General features: G+C 40.4%; 1 long non-coding RNA gene across 1 annotated transcript in view, besides 1 other annotated feature; it reads left to right on the forward strand.

Moving 5' to 3' along the window:
• CASC15 (cancer susceptibility 15) overlaps positions 1-17,598 on the forward strand; it is a 529,408-nt gene that overhangs the window by 365,728 nt on the left and 146,082 nt on the right. The window lies entirely within an intron of this gene.
• Positions 5,480-5,589: an enhancer, noted in NCBI's record as "active region_24148". NCBI's record gives its function as "activates an Ori minimal core promoter by ATAC-STARR-seq in GM12878 lymphoblastoid cells {active_cell/tissue: GM12878}" and the evidence as "EXISTENCE:reporter gene assay evidence [ECO:0000049][PMID:35858748]".

Here is a 17,598-nt window from a genome sequence, read left to right on the forward strand (position 1 = left end):
CAATGGCATGATCTTGGCTCACTGCGACCTCTGCTTCCTGGATTCAAATGATTCTCCTGCCTCAGCCTCATGAGTAGCTGGGATTATGCATGCACTACCACGCCTGGCTAATTTTGTATTTTTAGTAGAGACAGGGTTTCACCATGTTATCTAGGCTGGTCTGGAACTCCTGACCTCAGGTGATCCACCCACCTTGGCCTCCCAAAGTGCTGGGATTACAGGCATGAGCCACTGCACCTGGCCTTTTTTTTTTTTTTTTTTTTTTGGAGACAAGTTCTTGTTCTGTCACTCAGGCTAGAGTACAATGGCATGGTCATAGCTTACTACAGCCTCCATCTCCTCGGCTCAAGTGATCCTCCCACCTCAGCCTCCTTAGTAGCTGAGACTACAAGGCATGCATGACCACGCCCAGCTAATTTGTTTTCATTTTTAGTAGAGATGAGGTTTTGTTATCTTGCCCAGGCTCATCTCGAACTCCTGAGCTCATGTGATCCTCCTGCCTTGGCCTCCCAAAGTGCTGGGATTACAACATGAACCACTGTGTCCGGCCTATTGTTGGTTTTCTTACTCAGTATAAAGAATCACTTGGTACACTCACACTGGAAGCCATGTTCCCTACTTGCTCTCTTCCCTTTGAAACATTATCCTATGCCTTCTTTATAATATGCCATGTTCAACTACCAGAGAATCTTTTTTTTTTTTTTTTTAAATAATTTCAACTTTTATTTTAGATTCAGGAGGTACATGTGGAGGTTTGCTATATGGGTATATTGTGTGCTGCTGAGATTTGGGGTATGGACGATCCTGCCACCAGATAGTGAACACAGTACCTAATAGGTAGTTTTTTAGTCCGTGTCTCCTCACTCCTCCCACTCCCACCCCCACCACCAACTCTAGAAAGTCTGTGGTGTCTATTGTTCTCATCTTTATGTCCATGTATACTCAATGTTTAGCTCTCACTTATAAATGAGAACATGCAGTATTTGGTTTTCTGTTACTATGTTAATTTGATGATGATAATGGCCTCCAGCTGCATCCATACTGCTGCAAAGGATATGGTTTCATTCCTTTTTTTATGGCTGCATAGTATTCCATGGTATATATGTACCATATTTTCTTTATCCAATCCACTATTGACAGGCTCCTAGGTTGATTCCATGGCTTTACTATTGTGAACAGCACTGAGATGACCATATAAGTGCATGTGTCTTTTTGGTGAAATGATTTATGTTCCTTATTCCTTTGGGTCTATACCCAGTAATGGGACTGCTGGGTCAAATGGTAATTCTGTTTTAAATTCTTCGTGAAATCACCAAATTGCTGTCCATAGTGGCTGAATTAATTTACATTCTCACCATCAGTGTATTAGTGTTCCTTTTTCTCTGCAGCCTCACTAGCATTTCTTTTTTGTCTTTTTAATAATAGCCATTCTGACTGGTATAAGTTGGTATCTGATAGATTTGCATTTCTACGGAGAATCTTGATGTCATCAGAAACTGTTAGGCAGCTAATTTCCTCATTGTATATTTTTGTTTTCTTGGTGGCTTCATCAATGTTATTTGCTGACTTACACACTTCTTGCCTCTCACCTTCTCTGCCAAATCTCCATGCTTTATAACCCAGACTTACCCACGGTCGAGTTCTCTAGACTTGGCTCCTCTGATTGTGTGAGATCCTCCCACATTTAGGAAGGGGGAGCTGGTATTAAATATATGTGTGAAATACTTAAAGAATAAAGTGTGGAATAGTGAAATATGGGCCCTAATGCACTAGGAGATCAGAAGGAGACAGTGGGTATGAGCTGATTGACTCAAGGACAGCTTTATAGGTACAGAGGAGATTTATTATAGATATAGGAGGATGGGTAGGATCTAGATGGGGCATGAGGAAAGAGAGGGCACTTAACAATTGGAATGAGAGTAAACAAAAGCCCTAAAACCTTTATTATTAGTAATAATGCTTGGTAGAAATGAATGGGGTATATACATGGGAAATGGTATATAACAAGGATGTCTAGGTGGGCAAGAGGAGGACATAGTTATTTCTTAGAAGGAAGTCAATGGGTGCTATGCATGGCCACCGACCATGAATTTCTACAGCTGCTTGCTGGATCCTGCTGAGTGGTTTTCCTCAGGACTGCTGCTGCCCCTGTGGCAGCCATGCCAGCTTCTCTCTTCTCCCTCCTGTTTAGCCTCCCACTGGGAAGAGCTGCTATGTAGAGACTTATTAAAATTTTCTCAAAGAGTGGCAGGATGCAGTGGCTCATGCCTGTAATCCTGAGGTGGGCGGATCACCTGAGGTCAGGAGTTCGAGACCATTGTGGTCAACATGATGAAACCCCCATCTCTACTAAAAATACAAAAATTAGCCAGACATGGTGGTGCACACCTGTAGTCCCAGCTACTTGGGAGGCTGAGGCAGGAGAATCGCTTGAACCCGGGAGGCTGAGGTTGCACTGAGCCAAGATCTTTACTGCACTGTAGCCTGGGCGACAGAGTGAGACTGTGTCTCAAAAAAAAAAAAAATTTTTTTTTTCTCAAAGAATTTTTCAAACACTATCTCATTGGATGCATGTGATAATCTTGGGCTGTGCTGTTACACCAATTTGCAAGTAGGAATCTGAGGTTCTTTGAGGCTAAGGAACTTTCCTGAAGCCACAAAACTGGTAAGCAGCAGAACTGGACTGTGAGGCTCTGGCCCAGATGTGGTCGGCGCTCTTTGTGGTCAGCCAGGCCACACCAGAGGCCATTTGCCTGCTTTTCTGTTCATTCATTCATTTTTGGTAAATCTTGTCTGACCATCTACTAAGCGCTGGGTCCCAAGTTAAGACAAAGGTAAACAAGGCCCTTTTCTTGCTTTCTGTTCCAGTTGGATAGGGATCAGAAAGGCAAAGCCGGCAGTTGCAGTCTCATGTGGTAAGGGCTGTAGGGAGATGCCCAGGGTGCTATGGCTACCCCTAGGAAGGACTTTAAGGGTGAAATTGTGCCAGGGGCTAAGGCTTCCTAGAGGAAGTGATAGCAGAGCTGAGGTACCAGGAAAGATTTAAATGTTCTTTACAGAAATCTGTAACATAAAAGGCGAGGCAAGAGAGAGGAATGGTACATTTGGGGAATTAAAAGTAGTTGAATTTGCCTGGAATGCGAAGGGCAAGTTGGGGAATGGTGGAAGATGAAGCTAAGGACACCTTAGCTTAAATCTACCGAGGCCAGATCGTGTGTAGTTGTGGAAACCATGGTTAAGAGATCTTCACTGCCCAGAGCACAGTGAGGAACTGTTGGAAAGGTTGGGAGCCTGAGAGTGACTTGATCAAATTTGCAGCCTAGAAGAATTCCTCTGGTGCAGTGGGAAGGATGGGCTCACTGTTGCAACAGTTATTGCAGTCTGTTAAAGTAGAGACATTAGCTGATAGCATAAGGTGCAATAGCATAAGGTGCGATAGCGTAAGGTGCTTTTCTCTTCTTCAGTCTCTGCAGTAGCATTCTGGAGGAATCCAAAGGCCTCTTCCAGAGCAAAGCTAAAAATGGTGGAGAAGGGAGAAGCGGAATTTGCTGTCTTCCATGATTTGGTTCCAAATACACAAGCCTTGTTCTGGTTCTTTTTAACATCTGTGTGTCTCAAGTCAGGAAAATGGCTTGAAAAGCCATAATATCATCATAGCCCTAGCGTTCAGATTACCTTCTTTCAATTAGCTAACCAAGATAAACTTCGATTTCATGAAAGTTGTGTACTTTATCTCCAAGTCATGTGACTAAAAAAGCCAACTCTTTTAAAAACATACATGTTTCTACACGTTTAGAATAATTTTAAAGTATCTATCTATAGCAAATATAATTTTAAACATCCATAAAACAAAAATATAGCTCAGGATCTTTTCATTAGGGTCTGGGTTCTCAAAGAGCACGTTGCAAGGTAAAGCAAAGAACCTTAGAGAAAATGTTAAGTGCTTCTGTCAGACAGAGTTTTCTCAAGTGGCTGAATGTTTGGACTCACAGAGCTGCTTTTTTTCTACGTAAAGAAAACTCTTCTCTTGTAGACCCCTCTACATTTTTCTCATAAGCAATTCTCTTTAGAGATTACTTCTCTAATTTATCCCTCCCTTCCCCTCCAAAAAGAGAGATGAGAGATTATCTCAAGGAGCTGGCAGGACAGAATCAAAAGCAGGGGGGTGTGGGTGTGGAATAAGTCAGTGCAGACCCAGGTCCTTGCCGTCGCTGGAGATCTCTGAACTTTGCCGCCTCCCTCTTTGCTGAGGTCCCTCAGGTGGCCTCATTGTTTCTATTACCTTGGTAGAAAGCCTGTGTGAAGTCCCTGCCTGCCTGGCAGTCTCGTTGCCATGGAAACTTCCATTCCGCACACCTGATTCACACATCACGCTTGGCTAAGTCCAGACAGAGGTCACAGACTGGCATTTGCCCTTTGTTTCCCCTTCTTGTGTTTTCCAGGCACTTAAAAATGGATATAGAAAGATGAGAGGGTGGGCAGTGTTGTGTGTAAGAACGCTTTGTTGTCAACTGTAGAAGTGTGTGAGGAAAAAAAAAACCAAAAAAAAAAAAAAAAACCAAAAAAAAACCTTGTAAATGGAAGAGCAGAGCAAATGGCAAAGTGTGCATATAGTTCTAACCTTCTCGTAAGAAAGCAAAGTTTGAATCCTGTAATGTGTCTGAAAGTGACTTTTTTTCTGGATTTCTAGGTGAGATTGGAAATGGGTATAATAGATTCCAGAGTCTGCGGCTCCACAGGGAGTTTTCTGTCCCCTTTCACCAAGTTGCTCTTACACTCTAGGATTGCAATGTGGGTTCAGGTAAACCATCCCTGACAGCTGTATGTTAAGAATCAAATTCTCTGATGTTGCTTTCTATACTGCAGCTTTACTTTTACATAAAGTGTAATACTTTAGAAAGCATAAATACTTTTGAGGAAATTATCCTTCGTTAGAGGTCAATACATTTGCTGGAGTAATTTTCTGTTTACCCTCTGATTTTTTCTTCTTCCTGTGTAACTTCTTTAATATATAACTTAGAGAAAAGGACCATGTAGGAAGGCAGATTATTAAAGTTCTTGCCCAACCAGAATTTCTCTTTCTTAGGTTGAGTCGTTTTCTTTTGATTCTTGTTTATAAGGCTGAGATTTAGAGATTAAAAAAAAAAAAAAAGACTTTCCAAGGGACATGGGACACGGCATTCAGCCCTCCTAAAACATTAAGTTGGCCAGGCGCGGTGGCTCACGCCTGTAATCCCAGCACTTTGGGAGGCCGAAGCGGGTGGATCACGAGGTCAGGAGTTTAAGACCAGCCTGGCCAACATGGTGAAACCCCGTCTCTACTAAAAATACAAAAATTAGCTGGGCATGGTGGTGTGTGCCTGTAATCCCAGTTACTTGGCAGGCTAAGGCAGGAGAATCGCTTGAACCCAGGAGGTGGAGGTTGCAGTGAGCTGAGATCATGCCACTGCACTCCAGCCTGGGCTACAGAGTAGACTCTGTGTTAAAAAAAAAAAAACGCAAACAAACAAACAAAAAAACCCACATTAGGTTTCAGACATTATGTGCAGTGCAGTTATCATGTCTTGGCAGTCGGGTTAGCTCGTGAGTTTCTGTTTGCTCTTACCTCCATTGACGCTTCTGTTTCTTCTCATTTGTCAATATTCCTCCTGTTTAGATGGCCTTGATTTACAAAATATGCCCTTACTACCAGCAGTCAACCAGACCTGGGTTTCAAATCTCATCTACCTTATGTCCTTGGATAAAATTATTAGCCTCCATTGTCTCATCTGTGAAATGGCGTTAATAATACAAAACTGCTGTAAAAAAATTGTAATTTTTACAGTAGATTGCAAGATACCTGCCACACAATATCTATTGTTACTATTATCCTGTTAAATCAGTTTAGAAATAACATTTATAGCATGTGAAAGCATATGCTTGCTCTCAGTGTTACTAAGTTTGGTGTTGTTCTTGACTTTGGCCAAGGTAAGGACAGGTTGGGGCTAAGTATATGGATGGTGGATGGAAATAAATTATAATTTTTACAAAAAATAGAGCATGTACACACACATTCTCCTTGTCTTTTTTTCATTTGTGTACTCACCCTCAGTCTATTTTTTGAATCTCCCTACAAATTCAAGTGGCAAAATGAAAAGGTTGTACAAGTATTGGAAGATAAAATATTGTCATAGAGACATTTAGCGAGCAGTGGCTCTGCTCTGTCAGCATTTCCAGGCAGTCATAGAGGTACATGTGTGAATTCCCATTCTCATGACCCCAAGGCCATTCTAATCCCCCCATTCTAATCCCCTGGCTCCTCACCTCCTTCCCCTTCCTCTCACTGTTCTCACATTTTCTCCTCGTTTTTCCTCCTCTCCTCTCCTTCTCCTCCTTTTCTCCCCGTTTTCTGTTTCCTCCTCCCTCTCCCCCTCCTCCTTGTCTTTTTCTTCTTTCTTTAAAATTGTGGTAAAATATACCTGCTACAGAACTTACCATCTTAACTGTTTATACGTTTATGGTTCTGTGACATTACAAACTTCCACATTTTTTGCAACCATCACCATACTCCATCTCTTGAACTTTTGATCTTTCCAGACTGAAACGCTGTACCCATTGAACTCTGACTCCCCATGCCTGCCTCCCATCACAGCCACTGGAAACCACCATTCTACTTTCTGTCTCTATGAATTTGACTACTTTTGGTGTCTCGTATAAGTAGGGTCATATAGTATTTGTTCTTTTGTGACTGGCTCATTTCACTTAGCATAATTAGCCTTCAAGGATCATCCCTGTTGTAGCATGTATCAGAATTTCATTCCTTTTTAAGGCTGAATCATATTCAATTGTATGTATTAATATATACCACATTTTTGCTTATCCGTTTATCCATCGACAGACACTTGTGTGGCTTTCACATTTAGTATTTGTGAATAGTGCTGCTATGAACATGGGTGTACTCATATCCCTTCAAGAGCCTGCTTCAATTCTTTTGGGTACATACTCAGGAGTGGAACTACTGGATTATATGGTAATCGTATTTCTAATTTTTTGAGGAACTACCATACCGTTTTCCACAATGGCTGTACCATTTTACATTCCAACCAACAGTGCACAAGGGCTCCAGTTCTTCCACCTTTTCACCAACATTTATTTTCTGATTTTTCGATAGTAGTCATTCAAATGGGCGTGAGATGGTATCTCGAAGTTTTGATTGCATTTCCTTAGTGATTAGTGATGTTGAGCATCTTTTCATGTGCTTATTGGCCATTTGTATATCTTCTTTGGAGAAATATCTATTCAGTTCCCTTGCCTGTTTCTTAGGTTGTTTGTTTTGTTGTTGTTGAATTTTTAGGTGTTATTTGTGTATTCTGAATATGAATCCCTTATCAGAAATATGATTTGCAAATATTTTCTCCCATTCTGTGGGTGGCCTTTTTACTCTGTTGTCTTTTGATGTGCAAAATTTTAAAATTTTTAAATGAAGTCTAATTTATCTATTCTTTTCCTTTTGTTGCTTATGCCTTTGGCATCATATCCAAGAAATAACTGCCACATTCAATGACATGAAGCTTTTGTCCCATTTTCTCCTAGGAGATTTATAGATTTAGGTCTTATGCTTAGGTCTTTGTTCCATTTTGAGTTAATTTTTGTATATGGTGTTATGTAAAGTCTGACTTCATTCTTTCGCATGTGGACATTTCATTTTCCTGGCACCATTTGTTGAAAATGTTGCCCCTTCCCATTGAGTGGTCTCGGCATCCTTGTCAAAAATCATTTGACCATATATGTGAGGTTTTATTTCTGGGTTTTCTGTTCTGCTGGTGCATCTCTCTGTCTTTATGCTAGTATCACCATGTTTTGATCACTGTAGCTTTGTAGTAAGTTTTGAAGTCAGGAAGTGTGAATCCTTCAGCTTTGTTCTTTTTCAAGATTGTTTTTGGCTATTCAGGGTCCTTTGAGAGTCCCTATGGATTTTCGAATGGATTTTTCTATTTCTGCAAAAATTGTCATTGGGATTTTGATAGAGATTGCATTGAATCTACAGATTGCTTTGGGTGGTATTTATATCTTAACGGTATGAAGTTTTCTAATTCATGAACATGGTATGTGTTTTTATGTATTTATGTCTTTTTAAATTTCTTTCAGAAAGTTTTTATTGTACAAGTCTCTTAACTCCTTGATTAATTCCTAAGTATTTCATTGTTTTTGATGCTATTATAAATGGAACCATTTTTGTAATTTCCTTTTCAGATTGTTCATTGTTAGTATATATAAATGCAACTTACTTTTATATGTTGGCTTTGTATCCTGCTACTTTATTGAATTTATTATCTCTAACAATTTTTTGAGTGCGGGATCGGGGGATCTTTCGGAGATAAGATCAGATCATTTGCAAACAGAAATAGTTTTATTTTTCCTTTCCAATTTGGATGGCCTTTATTTCGTTTTCTTGCCTAATTGCTCTGGCTAGAGCTTCTTGTACCATGTTGAATAGAAGTGGTGAAAGCAGGCATCCTTGCCTTATTTCTGATCTTAGAGTAAATGCTTTTAGTCTTTCACCATTATGATGTTGGCTATGGGTTTTTTCATATATGGATTTTATTATATTGAGGTAGATTTCTTTCTAGTATGTTGAGTATTTTCAACATGAAAGGGTATTGAATTTTGTCAAGTCCTTTTTCTGAATCAACCACATTGAGATGATCATGTGGTTTTAGTCTTTCATTCTGTTAACATTATATATTATATCAATTTTTCTATGTTAAACCATCCTTGCATTTCGGGACTAAATCTCATTTGGTTGTGGTGTATAATTCTTTTAATATTCTGCTGAACTCAGATGGCTAGTATTTTGTTGACAGTTTTTACATCAGTGTTTATAAGGGATATTGGTCTATAGTTTTCTTTCTTTTTCTGGCTTTGCTATCACGGTAATACTGGCCTCATAGAATGAATTAAAAAGTGTTTTATCAGCCGGGTGCAGTGGCTCATGCCTGTAATCCCAGGACTTTGGAAGGCTGAGGTGGATGGATCACCTGAGGTCAGGAGTTCAAGACCAGCCTGGCCAACATGGTGAAACCCCATCTCTACTAAAAATACAAAAATCAGCTGGGCATGGTGGTGTGTATTGGTAGTCCCAGCTACTGAGGCAGGAGAATCACTCGAACCCAGGAGGCAGAAGCTGCAGTGAGCCAAGATTGCGCCACTGTACTCCAGCCTGGGCAACAGAGTAAGACTCAGTCTCAAAAAACAAACAAACAAACAAAACGTGTTTTATCTTCTTCAGTATTTTGAAAGAGTTTGAGAAAGATTGGTGTTAATTCTTTATTTTTATTTTTATTTTTTGAGACGGAGTTTCACTCTTGTTGTCCAGGCTGGAGTGCAATGGTGCAATCTCAGCTCATTGCAACCTCTGCCTCTCAGGTTCAAGTGATTCTCCTGCCTCAGCCTCCCAAGTAGCTGGGATTACAGGCATGTGCCACCATGCCCAGCTATTTTTTGTATTTTTTTTAGTAGAGACAGGGTTTCATCATGTTGGCCAGGCTGGTCTTAAACACCTGACCTCAGGTGATCCACCTGCCTCAGTTTCCCAAAGTGCTGGGATTATAGGTGTGAGCCACTGCGCCTGGCTTACTTCTTTAAATGTTTGGTGGAAGGTTGTGCATTTTTAAAAACAGTTTTAAAGAATATATTTAATCAGCTGAACTGAGGGAATTGTTACATTTAGGATAAAGAGAAGTTTGGAAAACTGTGGGGTTTCCAGATTCATTGTTTTATCTCCAAGTGACAATTCCCTTCTGCTCTCCCGAGTCTTTACCACAGGACTGAAGATTCAGTTTGGCCTCTGTGATGTGGCCTGGCCGACAGTCTGTTGCTCTCTCATCCTTTAGGAGTCCTGGATGATTAGTAAGCATTTTCTCACAGCAAATGATTCAGAATGAAATGTAGTTCCAGATACAAAAATTATTTCTGAAAATAACCTCACTTCTTTAAAACCATTTCTGTTATATGTTGATTTAAAAGCATTTATACTGATCTCCAGTCAACTTTCTCTTTCTCTTGGTGTTCCTTCTTCATCCCTCTCCCCACTCTCTTTCTCTCTCTTGCCTGCCCACCTGCCCGCCCCCCTCCCTTCCTCCCTCCCTCTCCTTCCCCCTCCTTCTTCCTTCCTTGCTTCCTTCCTTCCTCCCTCCCTCCCTCATGGAATACCCAGAACAATACTGTCTAATAGACATATAATATAAGCCACATGTGTAGCCATGCTAAAAAAAAAAAAATGAAGAGAATTAGGTGAAATTGATTTTAATAACACACTTTATTTAACCTAATATATCCAAAATATTATTTCAATATTTAATTAATATAAAAATTAATGAGCTATTTAACTGTATTTTTCATAGTAAGTCTGTGAAATCCACTGTTTTAAACTTGAGATACATCTCAGTTTGGACTGATCACATTTCAAGGACTCAAGAGCCACATGTGTCTAGTGACCACTGTATTAGACAGTGCAGACCTAGTGTATTTGGTACCAAGCACGTAAAGTCCAGAAAAGGGCAGCCCTCCACTTTGCTTCATGGACAGGACAGATCAATAAAGGATGAATGATGGCTGTGAGTACCTGGGGAGGAGCTGTGCATAGAGTATTAGGGAAGCCCAGAGGAGGGGGTCCAAAGGCAGACCTGTGAGCTGGGGCCTCCCTGCAACTTACTTGGCTTGTTCACTACCACTAGATCTCATTTCTTTGAACTAGTCCCCTGTGGGGAGGCAACTGAGCTGGAGTTTGGCATGGGCCCCAGTCCATCAGACATTAACTTTTTGCCTCATGTATTAAGAGAGCCACTGGCAAGTTCACATTTAATTACAGGCTCTGCTCTGGCCACAGGTTTGGGAGCTGGGATTTTGGAATCACAACCTCACTGCTTTCTGTTCTGGTCTGCCTTTCATTCCCACACACAGGATGGCTCATCTAGCTTCCTGGAGATTGCTCTCCGGCCAGGTGCACCTCCTTGCTTCTTTTTACTGCAGTGCCCAGAGGAAGATGTAAAGTATGACTGAGGGAAGGGAAGGAAGAAAACATTTTTATTTTCTTCTTTGTCTAGACACCTCCCCTACTCATCTCTGGGAGGCAGCACCAAGAGCTCTGGTTGTTAATGGAAAGGTCATCAGGTGGCCTTCTGTGGATCCACCTTGTCCCCACCCTGGCCACTGTGCCTGACCTGCTTCTCAGGGATTTAGAGAGGTAGCTAATGTGGATGGTGTGGCTCCAGCAGTTAGGCAAGTGTGTGTATATCCAGGCTCCCTGCTTGGGGAAGGGTGGTAGAGAGATGTTTACAGATATCCAGCCAGGAAGTGCAAGGGAAGAGGAGGAGCTGTTTCCACTTACCCTCCTACCTCCTTTTGGCTTTCTCTTCTGGCATTGCCTACGGCCAAAAAGGGATGGGAATTTGGCAAAGTAAAAGTATCTCATTGTACTTCCCCACCCCTCCGTCTCACCTCCCTTCTAAGACTTTTTTCTACCCAGGTCACTTAATACTCAAAGACTGCAAATTCCTTTCCTACTGCTGATGTGGAAGAAGCTTGGAAACATGTTCCTTTCCAGGAGATAAGTGATACGGCAGAAAGACGGGTCAGATGAGGCCAAGGGATTGGAGCCAGAGTCTTACCAAACTCGCAGGCAGCTTGTGACTGCGGGCATGCTGTGCTGATGGAGGAGGGGAGGCCTGGGGGCTCCATGCTGTCGGGATTCCTCCCTTGATAAACAGAGTCAAGGTGGGTAGGGGGACCTTGTGAGAGGTGTCCAGCCCTTTAGAAGATTCTATTAGCATGTGTTGGCTTGTTAAATGATCTACCCATTGAGATTGGTGGCCTGGTCCAAGGCTTTGCTTCTGATACCACTTAATCTCTTTTAATATTTGAACTCTATACTATTAACATAGATTTCTTTGGGAACTGTATGCATTTTCCACCACAGGGAATCAAATCCAGCATATAAAGATGGCAAGAATCTCAGTAATTACCTAAATTCATGAAGAAGCCAAAGTAAAAATATTTCTTCTCTTGGGAATAATAAAATAAAATAAAATAAAATAAAATAAAATAAAATAGATGAGAGCTGAATAGCTCTTCTCCTTACCCCACACTCACAAATCTCCTAAAACTCAAAATTAATGTTACAATACACATTAGCAGATAGCATTTTTATCGATAAGTGTTAAATTAAGGAGTTAACACTGAGAAATTGAAACTGATTAAGAAAATGGAAAAGGCCACAGTATTTGAATGTCACATATGCATACTTATATTGTACCGTAGATACTGAAATAAGATCATTGTTACTGGTGCAGCCTGTGGTCAAATGCATTTTTTTTCTTTTTTTTTTTTTTTAAGACAGGGTCTCTTTCTGTCGCCCACGTTGGAATGCTGAAGTACAGCAGTGCAATCATGGCTCACTGCAGCCTTGATCTCCCAGCTGCTCAAGTGATCCTCCCACTTCAGTTTCTTGAGTAGCTGGGACTACAGGCATGCAATACTGTGCCTGGCTAATTTTTTAAATCTATTTTTTTTGTAGAGACAGGTTCTCAGCTCAGGCTGGCCATATGCATTTTGACACCCCAAAATATTTTGAATTATTCTTAGTTTCAGTAGATGAGATGAGTGATCATTTGAGTTCCTTCAACAGGTCATTAGACCAGACCAGAAGCGAGCTGTGATGATAACACAGGCTGTGGGCAGGCAGGCACCATGAGGCACAGTGAGAGCACCAAGACTGTGGGCTTTGGGTTTGAATCCTGGCTCCACTACTAATCAGCCCTGTGCAAGTGACTCAGCCTCTCTTAACCTCATTTATTTTCTGTAAAAATGGGAATTGTAGATTTATATTTATGGAGATTATTAAGATAATCTGTGTAAAATACTTAGTCCACAGTACCTGACAAATATTAAATTCTGAGGAAATATTAATTGCTATTATTACTACTTCAGCTCTGAAAATGCTGTTTTCTTGACAGTAAATGGCTGTTTTGTTTATTTCTGCCAGTAGCAAAGTAATATATTGATTGTTTAATGCCTTCTTGGCCTCTTTGAAAATGTTTAAAATTATGTTTACCTTTTCTTTATATCATTGCAGGTTTTGTGTGTGTGTGTGTGTGTGTGTGTATGTGTGTGTGTGTGTGTGTGAGAGTGAGTGCGTTTTGGGAGGCCAGTAATTACCCTGTGCAGATGGAGCTGCCCAAACAGTCTTTCCCATGGCAACTGAAAAAATAAAAAATAAAAGCAAAAACTTTGAGGTTACATAATTGCCTTCAATAGACTAGGAGGAGTGTAGAGATCATGACTTTTTTTGTGGGTTTTGGTGTTCTTTTGGTGTAAGGTGTTGGGTGAAGGTACAGAGGTCCTACTGAGTAACTGAACAGGATGCTGTTGCTTGCTTTGAAGTGAATAAATTGGTCAAAAGTACAAGTGGGAGGGGAAGTTGAGGTTTAATGAAGGAGGGCCATTATTAATGTTTCCATGGTTTTAGCAGTTTAAAAGTTGGGAGTTTAAATAATGTTGTTAGTTGTGGGGAAAACAGCCCACAGACATTCAGACATAGTTGAAGTTTAGTCTTTCAGTCTTCATTTTAATCTGAAGGTAGGGAGCCGAGCCTTCTGAATCACACAGCAAAGGGATTGCTTCGTAATTTTAACAGTCTGAATTATTGCATGCTCATAATGGCATAAGATTTGCATAGCTCCACCACTCTCATCAAATCCCAATTATCTGAAGATTGTTTCTCTTGGGAGGCAAAAGAATATTATAATTTTTGGGTTTCTTTTAATCTTCCAAAATGATTTATATTCATCCCCTTAAAACCTGGGTGTAACCAAAGGCACTAGGGCCCAAAGAACAGGTGTTGTCTTTCCAGAACATCCATAAAAGGATCCCTGTATACATTCTCTTTGCACCTCTTGTGTAGGGGTTAACATGGAAGGCTTCATTATTTGACTGGAAAGTAGGTTTGACTTTCCCACTGGAGATTTGATACTCTTAGCTCCAGAACCAAGAAAGAGAAGACTATTAGACTTTCCTTGCCCACCACCCCCTCCCCAACCCTGCCAAATGTATGCTAAGCCTATATTTGTTTTATTTCCAACCAATTTGTTGGAAATAAATTGGTTATTTATTTCCTTATTGGTTTTTCTCTCCAGAGACCCAAAAGATCATATAATGCCAACTCTATGTTATTGATAATAATCTGGGCATAGGAAGAACACGGAGAGTTGAAATCCACAAATCCTCCTAAAACCCAACATTCAAAAACCTCTTCTGCTCAGCTCTTTACATGTGAGCAAAGGAAAGGAGAATGAGAGATAAGATATTAAATGAGTACACGTGGCTCAGGGCACTTGGTGTCAGAAACTCTGCGTTACAATCCAGCCTCTTCCAGTTACCTGGTGAGCACTGGGAAATTTTTGTAACTCCCTGAGTTCTCCCTTTATCATTTGTCACATGATGAAAGAACACTTTAGTCTTGTTGGTTGTTGTATTAGATGAGATACGATATATGTGACGATTTGTAAATTTTGGGGCACTCTCCATGTGGTGCTCACTACTTTGTGTCATCTGATAGAGAGGAGGAGGAAGCATATATAACTAGCAGCCTGAGTAAATATTGGTTATCGTTTACTTCCAAATTGCCAAGAATGGGCCGTAAACCAACAATCTGCCTTGTTTAACCTCCATCAGCTACAATTGCCTCAAGGCCCCCAAATTGCAATTGGTAAGACAAAAACAATAAATGCAAAATCCATATTTGTTTTCTTCTTCCTTAACTTTTTTCATTCATGGTGGTCAATTGAGGTTATTAACCTAACTGACCTGCAAGGATAAACAAATGAGTTTTTTTTTTTAATCCTTTCTGGGAATCCTAAATAACTAGTTTCAATTGTTGTAAGTTGTGGGAGCTGGGAATTTGTTTTCTCCCCAGTACTGGACTCTTTTACAGTGGCACACTGGGAAACCAAATTTGAAACTCAAAGGAGAAATGGAACGGTGACAGTTTCCTTTAACCTGAGCTCAGGGCTTTGGCAATAGCTCTGCTCCAGGTTTCTGTTCTATCTAGTTCTGCCTGGAACTTAGATAAAGGAAAGCTTTCTGTATCTTCCATCATCCTTGCCTTGTTCTAATGTAGCAGGAGTAAGTCTTTCCTAATAGTGTTGCTTCTTTTTTTTTTTTTTTTTGAGATGGAGTGTTGCTCTGTTGCCCAGGCTGGAATGCAGTGGCGCGATCTCGGCTCACTGCAACCTCCACCTCCCACGTTCAAGCATGTCTTCTGCCTCAGCCTCCTGAATAGCTGGGATTACAGGTACATGCCACCACACCCAGCTAATTTTTGTATTTTTAGTAGATATGGGGTTTCACCATGTTGGCAAACCATGGCTGATCACCAGTAATTCCTGACCTCGTGATCCACCCCCCTTGGCCTCCCAAAGTGCTGGGATTACAGGCGTAAGCCACTGCACCCGGCCGCTCTTTTTTTTTTTTTTTTTTTGCCTTCACTTTATTAAAGAATGAGAGTTTTCTTTTACATTTTTTCTCATTGCTCTCTCAGCTGTTTTTTGTTGAAACTAGTATGGAATGACTATTCCTTTCCTTAGTGTGTGCGCCCATGGTGCATTACACATGGCACTTCTCCCTGTAGGGGCCCCACTCTATCACAACAACCAGTGTCCTCATCTCTCCTAGGCCTTGCTCCTGGCCCAGCCCTGAGCACATACTCTGCAATATTCGAACCCTTGATCAATTCTGAAAGCAATTTATTAACTTCCAGCCGTGAGAAAGAAGTGAATTAGTGGTCAGGGTAAAAATTGTAGGCATAGTTTAAAAATTCATTCCAGTGACATAATGAAAAATTTCATCAGGAGTCAAGATTGGAGATCTCTTTTTGGCTTTGCAACTGAGTAAATGTGGTAAAGTTACTTGATGTCTATGTACTTCAGATTCTTATTTATAAAATTGGACTGAATTAACATGACTGAATTAACACAACAGCATCGTGATTCTGCGTCTTTCAGTCCCATACAACTGTCCATAGTTTAGTTGTCTGATTAGGGATTATAATATTTGCGTCTTTTGTAACCTAAAGAATATCTTATGTTATTCAAGACTGCTCATTTTCATTGACGTGCTCAATACCCAAAGCACATAGTTTTTCAAGACTGACTATTCTCCCCTCTCCTGTGAAGGAGAATGGTAAGGGCCAGTTTCCTCATGAAAGCAACTGAAGAAACTGAAGTAAACGTGTCTTTTTTTTTTTTTTTTGAGAGGGAGTCTTGCTCTGTTGCCCAGGCTGGAATACAGTGGTATGATCTCAGCTCACTGAAGCCTCTGCCTCCCACTTTCAAGCAATTCTCCTGCCTCAGCCTCCCGAGTAGCTGGGATTACAGGTGCCCGCCACCATGCCTGACTAATTTTTGTACTTTTAGTAGTAACTGGGTTTCATCATGTTGGCCAGGCTGGTCTCGAACTCCTGACCTCAGGTGATCCGCCCACCTCGGCCTCCCAAAGTGCTGGTATTACAGGTGTGAACCACCACACCTGGTCAAGACATGTCTTTTTATCATGTCTTTCATCCGATCTTTGGAAAGGAGACTCTGTAACAAACAAACAAAAAAATCTTCTAAGCTGAGTTCAAGAATAGATGTTGCTTTTGGACTCACTTCTTTTGGAAGCTTTAAAAATGGGATCATGAGATCAGAATGTATGTAGGTATTCTCTGAAGACAGAATTGTATTTGTCCTTCTAATACCCATCTCTCAAACTTAGCAAGTGTTTAGTTGCTTCTCTTTAACATAAGCCTCTGTTGGTAGTTTGTGTATTCTTTTCAGAAGAAATGTAGGAAAAAATATCTAGGGGCTTATGAAAGCCAACAAAACTATAGTTAGAAGGTAGATGTGTTCCCTTAGAAAGATTTATATGGAAACTTGTTTTCTAGAAAGATGAACAAACAATGAGCCAGACTGTCCTTGTTCTTGTTTTAAAATAAACATATTTGTAGACCTGTAACTGGCTCCTGATGAGCAATACATGAAGCCATTTAAGGCATGAAGCTTTGCATTGGTATGGAACCAACTGAATAAAACTTGTTTATAACCTTGTATACCTTTCCAACATAAACACCATTTCTGGAGTTAATCATTTTTATACTGCTTTATACCTAACATCATGTGACAGCTTTTTCTTTTACATTTTTTCTGACCTGGATTGCTAGCTAGGCATTTGTATTTTTTGATGGTGATGTTCTAGGTTATCCTTTTACATGCCAAATTGGCATAAGCCAGAATATTATATTTTATACTTGTCAAAGGACGGCACATATTATTACTATGTCATAACTAGGGCTCACTGTTTTTTTTTTTTTTTTTAAAAACTGCTTCAACTTTCCACCTATGTAGAAACAAGTATACTTTTTAAGTGAATGCTTGGATTGAGGAACCAGGAAGTGTTTTTTACTCATCAGTATTGCCTCCCACCTGAAATAGTTCATTTCCTTAGAGGATATTGTGGAGTTTAGTTATCCATGAATCTGTTTTTATGGATTGTATTGAAGAAGATGAGGAGTACCATGCATTTTTT

The sequence above is a fragment of the Homo sapiens genome, chromosome 6, assembly GCF_000001405.40.
Source record: "Homo sapiens chromosome 6, GRCh38.p14 Primary Assembly".
Lineage (NCBI taxonomy): Eukaryota > Metazoa > Chordata > Mammalia > Primates > Hominidae > Homo > Homo sapiens.